The 10,104-nt window shown below is 36.8% G+C and overlaps 1 protein-coding gene across 7 annotated transcripts in view; it reads left to right on the forward strand.

Moving 5' to 3' along the window:
- FMR1 (fragile X messenger ribonucleoprotein 1) overlaps positions 1-9,721 on the forward strand; it is a 39,207-nt gene extending 29,486 nt beyond the window's left edge. For 2 of the 7 annotated variants that reach the window (NM_002024.6, NM_001185076.2), the window contains 4 exons: positions 1,727-1,922; positions 3,465-3,647; positions 4,130-4,212; positions 7,279-9,721. In NM_002024.6, coding sequence (NP_002015.1) covers positions 1,727-1,922; positions 3,465-3,647; positions 4,130-4,212; positions 7,279-7,440 — 624 coding nt within the window. In that variant the 3' untranslated portion in view covers positions 7,441-9,721. The remainder of the gene's footprint in view (positions 1-1,726; positions 1,923-3,464; positions 3,648-4,129; positions 4,213-7,278) is intronic. The other 5 variants (NR_033699.2, NR_033700.2, NM_001185075.2 and 2 more) reach the window with 3 other exon arrangements.

Genomic DNA, 10,104 nt, shown 5'->3' on the forward strand with positions numbered 1-10,104 from the left:
TTTATTTGTATCCATACATATCAAAATTATAATGTAGCTGGTATTAAATGTTTTTAAAAAGCATTTCAACTCTATTTATGGCATTAAGAATTTTTTTGCTGATTTCTTGAAAGAAATAAAAAGTACATGATTTCTGCTTGTGTGTAAATAAGAATGAAAGGAAGAAAAAGTGTAATACTGGGCATGCCATTCATTCTTATGGTGGCCAGTTAATTAAAAGTGGAAAGGTTTCATCCAGCAAGGTTTACATGGGTAGGATACCTCTTTGATTTTTTTTTAAGTATGTTTATGTGTAATCTCTCTGTGTGTGTGTCTCTCTCGTAATTAGCTTAAATCATCATGAAGGCCTGGAGAGTTAGGATTGCATTGTATCAAATCCCTTGTTCTTTTGACTAATGTTCTTTCTTAGATCCTTTGATTTATTCTCAAGAATATCTTCTTTGGTTATCAGCAGCTGCCCTGTTGCCATTCTTTCCATCACCAGAACTTCCCTCGTTTGGGCCTGGCATCTCTCACCAAAAGGTGACTGCTTTGCCCCAGTGGGATAACCTGGACTACTCTTCTGTTTTGCAAGATATTCCTATTCCATGAGCTATTACTATACCTTTGGAGGAAGTCACTCACTCAGCTGCAGTCTCTCCTTTGCTCAAATTCTATGTAAAACAGATTCTGGTGTAACTATGTAAATTGCTAATGATGGCAGAGCACAGATGAAACGGACCAAATCCTTACCTGACCTTTCTTTTCCAGAAGCTGCCACAACCAAGATTTTAGAAACTTAGCTTTACAGGAGCTTCTCCAATGACTGTTCATGTAGACAGTCTCTATGATAACCTCTGCTTCACTGAGACGCCTACTACTACTATAGTTATGAATCTGATTCCCCGTAGCCAGTAAATGAGATGTTTATGAGTGGATTGGAAGGACAGTGGTTAGAAATGAGGTTTCATCTGGTTTTAACAGAACCCAACATACTGGAAGTGCTTTTTGTAAGGGTCTGTCATTGGACCCCAGGTGTATATTTCTATCAACTAAATGTATACTGTTTCTCGTACTTGTTGTAGCAGAGTTGTAGTCTTTAGGAAGTTTTCAAGGCATGATGTAAGACCTAGCTGTCTGGTCAGCTATTAAATAGTTTTGTTTTCCCCTCATGAGGAATAGTCAGCATTTTCAGTTGATGAAAAAATCATTGTTCCTTAACCATAGTATATGTTCTTTTAAAACAAAAGATGGCCCAAACTCAATGCTTTGTAAATTAAGATATTAACTGGCAAATCTATTTTAATCAAGATTATTTACAATGTGTGATTTTTAAGGTTAGCTGGTTATACCTTGAATGTCATTTATCTATATTCATACATTTTAGCATGTTTTATTTAATATCCTATCATGAAGAAGTCCCCAAAATAGCATATCTGTGCCTTAGCAGTAGAATAATTGGATAATAGTGCCAAATTAGACAACTTTAAATTTTATTCAGTATAATTTTACTGCTGAGTGTTTTTGTTATATCTCTAATTCTTGACATCAATAATCTGTTATCTGTAGTAATTTTCTTTTTAAGGAGATCATTCAATTTCCTGATAATTCTGTGTAACAGTGTTTACTGTAAATTTAGAACTGAAATTGAAATATTCCAGTATATTTTTATCTGATGAAAAGGAGAAAGGTTTTATTAAGTAAAATGTCAAATTATTTTTACTGTTATCTTGTATATTTTAAATAGGAAGTAGACCAGTTGCGTTTGGAGAGATTACAAATTGATGAGCAGTTGCGACAGATTGGAGCTAGTTCTAGACCACCACCAAATCGTACAGATAAGGAAAAAAGCTATGTGACTGATGATGGTCAAGGAATGGGTCGAGGTAGTAGACCTTACAGAAATAGGGGGCACGGCAGACGCGGTCCTGGATATACTTCAGGTACAAACTAAGCATTTTACTCAGTAACTTTATCTGTTCCTAGACTTATAGCTGCTAATCTCTAATATTCATTAGAACCCCATTATAACAATTTGCCGCTACATGGTTTCCAATTCACAGTGGGTTAAATTGTGTTACAGGAGACATAGAGTAAAAACCTGATGATAAACACGTAGAGTTCACAGGGCCGGTGCAAGTTCTGTTCATGCTCTGATTGGGGGTAAATCTGCAAAGCCCTTGTGTGTTGATGATTTTCTTAAGGCCTCTCCTGATTTTATAACTGTATAGTCAAAACTTTTTTCATTTGTGTACTGTGGCTCATTTTTATTTTGTCAGGTATGTGCTGGTCATACTTGCTGGATGGACTGTGTAAATCAGGGGTCTGCCTCTTGTGGCTCATAAGGTGATTTTGAGTGACATGGCCAAAGTCAGCCCTAGGCACAGTCAAGAAGTAGGCGAAGTTTCTCTTTGCCTTCCCAGCTTTTCTGTCCGTGCTTCTTTCTTCTCTCCCAGTACCTTTCAGTGAACCTGATCCCCACCTGCCAGTGCCTACTGTCTTTCTTGCTCAACAGTGTATCTCCTTTGTAACTTGCTAATGATGGTATAAGGTATAATCCATTTCACGCATATTTGCATTTCAAAAAGGAACTCTTTAAGATGGAAAAGCCTTCAAGATCCACAGGAATGAAGCTATAATGGTGAAGCTATAATTGGTCATTAGCTCCAACAGAGGAAGAGAGAGGTAGTAGAGCTGATATTCTGGAGTTGGGGAGAGTTACCTACTCCTAAGGCCAACCTTGAACCTAACCCCTAACCCCTCTCCCAACAGTCTGTTCTTTTTACTCATGAATTTCTGCCTCACCGTGGAGCTCTTTTTCTCCGCTCCTGTCCTCTAAGTCGTTAACCCCTTCAGGCATAATGAATTTATTATAGTAATTCTTTATTAATGATCAATTATTGTAATGGGAGTGGGAGGGCAGGTTGTGGACCAAACATCAGGCAAGCATGTATCTGCCTTCAGCTAGATCCAATCCATGACCCACAAGAGACCCTTCCCTGAAGCAGTTGCCATGGTGGCCTCCTTTGCCACCCTCTCAGAAATGACCAAAATATATACATTCCCCTCTGTCCTGGGCCAAATCTTGCTAAAAGGAGCTCTCTTTTTAGAGGTTTTGTTTATCAGGGTATCACACTTAACTGTCGTGGATAATCTTTTCCTCCAGAGAGTATAGATGTTTAAAGGAACACAGCTATTTAATGATATGGCACATCAAGGTTTGAACTTAGGTGGCTAATAACATACCTTTTTAAAAATGAGAATGAAACATGTTTATAACCAAAATTAACCTCAAATATTGCAAAGCCCTTCATTTTGAGTTTAAAATTTTGTTTTATGAAATGGAAAGTGATAATACTCTTTGTGGGCTTATAAATTGGGAAGAGTTTTGGATTACCCCTGAAACGTCTCTGGAAGCTTCTGTTAACCCTCTTTTTTTTTTTTTTAAAGTCAGACAATGGTATATAACTTTTAACTCTCGATAGGAACTAATTCTGAAGCATCAAATGCTTCTGAAACAGAATCTGACCACAGAGACGAACTCAGTGATTGGTCATTAGCTCCAACAGAGGAAGAGAGGGAGAGCTTCCTGCGCAGAGGAGACGGACGGCGGCGTGGAGGGGGAGGAAGAGGACAAGGAGGAAGAGGACGTGGAGGAGGCTTCAAAGGTATGGAGATCTTCATTAAGAAATCAAAGTGAATTGTAACAGCTGTCTTGAAGTTCCATGAGAAATCCTATTGATGCAATGAACTGTTACCAAGATCCCATCTCTCCCGTTTTGTGCTGATACCATAGGAAAGGATCAGCCTTCCACTTGTGTAGAAAGAAAGAATATTAGGCAGCCTTCCTTATGGTTCATACAGATATATGAATAAATGCTGATAACTAATTCAGCATCTTGGTGGGTCTAAACAGCATCCCTTCATTAACTCACATTGACCTGTAGATGCAGAATTATAATAACTGTGAAATATTTTCTGTTACTTAGCAGCAGGCTAGATTATTAGCCATTGTGTAACTGGAATCACTGGGGTATTGATTACATTTCAGATTCTGTGGTTGGTTTAAATAGAGGGTGTGGGAATAAAGAACTTCCAGTAAGCATTTCAGAATCAGTAACTGTTGAACCTTTTGAAAATATTCTCATAGGAAACGACGATCACTCCCGAACAGATAATCGTCCACGTAATCCAAGAGAGGCTAAAGGAAGAACAACAGATGGATCCCTTCAGGTAAAACCTGTCTGCCTCTTTTCATCTTAATTGTTTGAATATGGTAGTTTGAGATTTATGAGTTTATTTTACTTTATTAAAAACATGTTCAAAGATTACAAATCCAGTTTATGTGAAATATTTTACCTTCAACATTACAATTGTAGTCAATCTTAGTTCTTTGTGACAAGTATACAAATAAGAGGATTTCTCTAGAGAATATGCAGTCTGAGTATTTGTGAAGACCTTGACAGCCACACTATGATTTTATTATTTATTATTTATTTTTATTTTTTTGAGACGGGAGTTTCGCTTTTGTTGCCCAGGCTGGAGTGCAATGGCGCAATCTCGGCTCAGAGCAACCTCTGCCTCCCGGGTTCAAGTGATTCTCCTGCCTCAGCCTCCTGAGTAGCTGGAATTACAGGCATCCACTACCATGCCCAGCTAATTTTTGTATTTTTAGTAGAGACGGGGTTTCACCATGTTGGTCAGGCTGGTCTTGAACTCCCAACCTCAGGTGATCTGCCCACCTTGGCCTCCCAGTGTGCTGGGATTACAGGCGTGAGCACTGTGCCCAGCCACACTATGATTTTAATACCACATTGGTAGACCTGCAATCCCCCAGAGAAGGAACATCCTGGGATGTACTTAGAGACCTCAGTAAACCTTATGTGTCTTTGCTCCCCCAAATTAACAGGGATAGGGTATTCTCTTTGAATAGAAAATAAGGAAAAGAAGGTGTCTGTCTTACAACTAATAATCATGATAGACAGAGCTGATGATATTCAGCTAGTCTCCATGCTTGGTCAGTCATCTGCTTATTTACAGCCAGGACCTAGTCCGAGGATCTCTTCTCAATTGGCTGTCACCAGTGCTAAACCAATTGTTAAATAATTTTAAAATTATCTCCTGAGCACATCCAGGCACCTTTGCTAAGTGCTTTGTGTATGTTTTATCTCATTTAATCTTACAGCAACCCACTGAGGTAGTTTTATTATTCCACTTTATAGGTGAGTGCACTGTAGCTTCAGTCCTTTGCCCACAGTCACATAGCTAGCATATGTCCAAATGATAGTCAAACCTTAGTGTCTGATTCTCTGAATCTATGTTGTCGTCTACTTTTTCTGTAACTTTTAATTATTAAGTAGTTAGGGTTCCTTCCTGACTATGGATTCATTTGGGACCATCACCCAAGATTAGTGAGAGATACTTTTTAAGACAAAGTTTATGATGGAATATTTCTTGGAATTCATAGCAGCTCAAAGTAAGTGTTAACTATTGGTGGGTTCTTAAGGACCAGCATGTCCAAGGGATAGATAGATTGGTAAATTACTGTATGTACCTGTCTTTTACAAAGCTATAAGATATTTAAGTACCCGTTTTGTAATTTTCCACTTAAACTGATATGTTTGATGAACTTGGCAGTCTAACTGCATTGGTTAAAAGGATGCACATTTATATTTCTAAATGAAATGGAATACTGAATTTAAAAGGTGATGTTTTCTCTATTAAGTATGAAAATAGATACAAATCTGGCCAGGCGCGGTGCTCACGCCTGTAGTCCCAGCGCTTTGGGAGGCCAAGGTGGTCAGATCACCTGAGGTCAGGAGTTCGAGACCAGCCTGGCTAACATGGTGAAACCCCATTTCTACTAAAAATACAAAAAATTAGCCAGACGTGTTGGCGGGCACCTGTAATCTCAGCTACTCGGGAGGCTGAGGCAGGAGAATCGCTTGAACCCAGGTGGCAGAGGTTGCAGTGAGCCAAGATCTTGCCATTGCACTCCAGCCTGAGCAACAAGAGCAAAACACCATCTCAAAAAAAAAAAAAAAGGGCCAGGCACGGTGGCGCACGCCTGTAATCCCAGCACTTTGGGAGGCCAAGGCGGGTGGATCACAAGGTCAGGAGATCGAGACCATCCTGGCTAACATGGTGAAACCCCATCTCTACTAAAAATACAAAAAATTAGCCGGGCATGGTGGCGGGCACCTATAGTCCCAGCTACTCAGGAGGCTGAGGCAGGAGGATGGCGTGAACCTGGGAGGCGGAGCTTGCAGTGAGCCAAGATCGCGCCACTGCACTCCAGCCTGGGCGACAGAGCGAGACTGTCTGGGAAAAAAAAAAAAAAAGATACAAATCAAAGTACTGAATCCTTGGTAACGAGACATTTAAAACACATGCACATACCCACTACTTAAACATACTTTGAAATTACAACCATTTGGGGATGTTTTTAGCATTTGTGCTTGAAGTAGATCAATATTTGTAGTTGTTTTAGTTCCATTTGTCACTGTTAACTTTCATTTGTACCTCTGGAATTAGCAGTGCTGTATTCAGCATTGGCACTTAAAATATTTTATAGCTCTTAGAACACTATTTTTTAAATTACATTGATCTTTATACTCTCCTAGGATTCCAGTCCTTCCACAAATTATTATATGCAGTTTTCTTTATACTGTTCCATTCTTCAGACAGAGTTCAGGTTGTAGGATCATCTGAATTTTCTTAGTGAAATACAAGCCAGTAGAAACCAAAGCTCGTGTTTTTCTACTGTATGACTATGGGAGCTCTCAGTATAGAGAAACTTGATCATACCTGTGATAGATATAAAGATGTAAATTAAAGTCTAGTTAGTGAGTTATTTGAGGGTAAAGCCAGAATAGGAAAACATTTTGTTTCTCTTTTCCTGGGCTTCACAATCTTTGGAGAATAACTAATTTTATTTTAACTCTAGTGTTAGAGGCATGTATGTCTTCTGGTAATCAGTAATAGTAATTCATTTTACCTGTTTGTTTCTCACTGTTTTATTCTACTTAGAAGAAGACATGATAGGATTGTGAGTTTTTCTCTAACTTTGGATGCAGTGAGATGACCAGTGTGTTCCAGTTAAAGAAGAAGAGTGTTTTAAAATCATAAACCAAATAAAGAATCCTACCTTACATTAATTTCTTGCACTTCTTCTGTTCTCATCTCCATTTCTCTTTTTAACATGTGGAATTTACACTTCAGGTTTAAATTTCTTGTCAGGCCAATTACAGATTACAGTAGGATATGGTCTGTGTATATAACAACTATAACTTGTTTTAGATCAGAGTTGACTGCAATAATGAAAGGAGTGTCCACACTAAAACATTACAGAATACCTCCAGTGAAGGTAGTCGGCTGCGCACGGGTAAAGATCGTAACCAGAAGAAAGAGAAGCCAGACAGCGTGGATGGTCAGCAACCACTCGTGAATGGAGTACCCTAAACTGCATAATTCTGAAGTTATATTTCCTATACCATTTCCGTAATTCTTATTCCATATTAGAAAACTTTGTTAGGCCAAAGACAAATAGTAGGCAAGATGGCACAGGGCATGAAATGAACACAAATTATGCTAAGAATTTTTTATTTTTTGGTATTGGCCATAAGCAACAATTTTCAGATTTGCACAAAAAGATACCTTAAAATTTGAAACATTGCTTTTAAAACTACTTAGCACTTCAGGGCAGATTTTAGTTTTATTTTCTAAAGTACTGAGCAGTGATATTCTTTGTTAATTTGGACCATTTTCCTGCATTGGGTGATCATTCACCAGTACATTCTCAGTTTTTCTTAATATATAGCATTTATGGTAATCATATTAGACTTCTGTTTTCAATCTCGTATAGAAGTCTTCATGAAATGCTATGTCATTTCATGTCCTGTGTCAGTTTATGTTTTGGTCCACTTTTCCAGTATTTTAGTGGACCCTGAAATGTGTGTGATGTGACATTTGTCATTTTCATTAGCAAAAAAAGTTGTATGATCTGTGCCTTTTTTATATCTTGGCAGGTAGGAATATTATATTTGGATGCAGAGTTCAGGGAAGATAAGTTGGAAACACTAAATGTTAAAGATGTAGCAAACCCTGTCAAACATTAGTACTTTATAGAAGAATGCATGCTTTCCATATTTTTTTCCTTACATAAACATCAGGTTAGGCAGTATAAAGAATAGGACTTGTTTTTGTTTTTGTTTTGTTGCACTGAAGTTTGATAAATAGTGTTATTGAGAGAGATGTGTAATTTTTCTGTATAGACAGGAGAAGAAAGAACTATCTTCATCTGAGAGAGGCTAAAATGTTTTCAGCTAGGAACAAATCTTCCTGGTCGAAAGTTAGTAGGATATGCCTGCTCTTTGGCCTGATGACCAATTTTAACTTAGAGCTTTTTTTTTTTAATTTTGTCTGCCCCAAGTTTTGTGAAATTTTTCATATTTTAATTTCAAGCTTATTTTGGAGAGATAGGAAGGTCATTTCCATGTATGCATAATAATCCTGCAAAGTACAGGTACTTTGTCTAAGAAACATTGGAAGCAGGTTAAATGTTTTGTAAACTTTGAAATATATGGTCTAATGTTTAAGCAGAATTGGAAAAGACTAAGATCGGTTAACAAATAACAACTTTTTTTTCTTTTTTTCTTTTGTTTTTTGAAGTGTTGGGGTTTGGTTTTGTTTTTTGAGTCTTTTTTTTTTAAGTGAAATTTATTGAGGAAAAATATGTGAAGGACCTTCACTCTAAGATGTTATATTTTTCTTAAAAAGTAACTCCTAGTAGGGGTACCACTGAATCTGTACAGAGCCGTAAAAACTGAAGTTCTGCCTCTGATGTATTTTGTGAGTTTGTTTCTTTGAATTTTCATTTTACAGTTACTTTTCCTTGCATACAAACAAGCATATAAAATGGCAACAAACTGCACATGATTTCACAAATATTAAAAAGTCTTTTAAAAAGTATTGCCAAACATTAATGTTGATTTCTAGTTATTTATTCTGGGAATGTATAGTATTTGAAAACAGAAATTGGTACCTTGCACACATCATCTGTAAGCTGTTTGGTTTTAAAATACTGTAGATAATTAACCAAGGTAGAATGACCTTGTAATGTAACTGCTCTTGGGCAATATTCTCTGTACATATTAGCGACAACAGATTGGATTTTATGTTGACATTTGTTTGGTTATAGTGCAATATATTTTGTATGCAAGCAGTTTCAATAAAGTTTGATCTTCCTCTGCTAAATTGATGTTGATGCAATCCTTACAAATGATTGCTTTTAAAATTTTAAGCTAGGAAAAGAAATCTATAGAAAGTGTTCTGTTACAAAATGTAACTGTTACCATTGGAAATTTCACGTCATAGGAAGTTAGCCTTTATCTACCAACTTTCAAGAACTTGTTTAATAAAGCGAAAAACTCAACCAAATGGTACAAAACCACAGTGTACCATTAAAATATGCACTAAGTCTCTTTTTTACAAAGGCTGTATTCAGCAAGGCGCTAACTTGCTTAAATGTGAATTACTAACTTCTAAAACTGTACTTTGATTCACATGTTTTCAAATGGAGTTGGAGTTCATTCATATTACAATATTTGTGTGCTAAACGTGTATGTTTTTCAGTTCAAAGTCATGATGTTTTTAAAATCTTATTAAAGTTTCAAAAATCTGAAGATTGTTTATCTAGATGTAAATTTTTATTAAAAAGTTGCACTTATGAAAAAGCAAAAAATTAGTCTGACAGATGTTTGCTCCTGGTTTTAAATTTCTACATTTGACAAAAACTAATGATATGTGGGGGGAAAGTTGTGCAAAGTAAATGTATGTTGCAAATAATCTTTTATGAGCCCTTAAAAGGCAAAAACGAAGACACTTGAAAATAATTCTCCATATTCCCAGACATAAAATTTCAACACATTTATTACATAGGGTGCCACTAAACCATATTAAACATATACTCCTATTTGTGCACACATGAACATACCCTGCCCTTTGGAAAAAAGTATGTCTATGAAGTAAAAAAAAAAAATTGATTTAAACGTCTCAGTAATAAAATAAATGAGAGGTTTGTAGGTAGAATGTGCCTGGGAATTGACTACTGTAATCACTTCAAGG

Source organism: Homo sapiens, chromosome X (genome assembly GCF_000001405.40).
Source record: "Homo sapiens chromosome X, GRCh38.p14 Primary Assembly".
NCBI classification, from domain to species: Eukaryota; Metazoa; Chordata; class Mammalia; order Primates; family Hominidae; genus Homo; species Homo sapiens.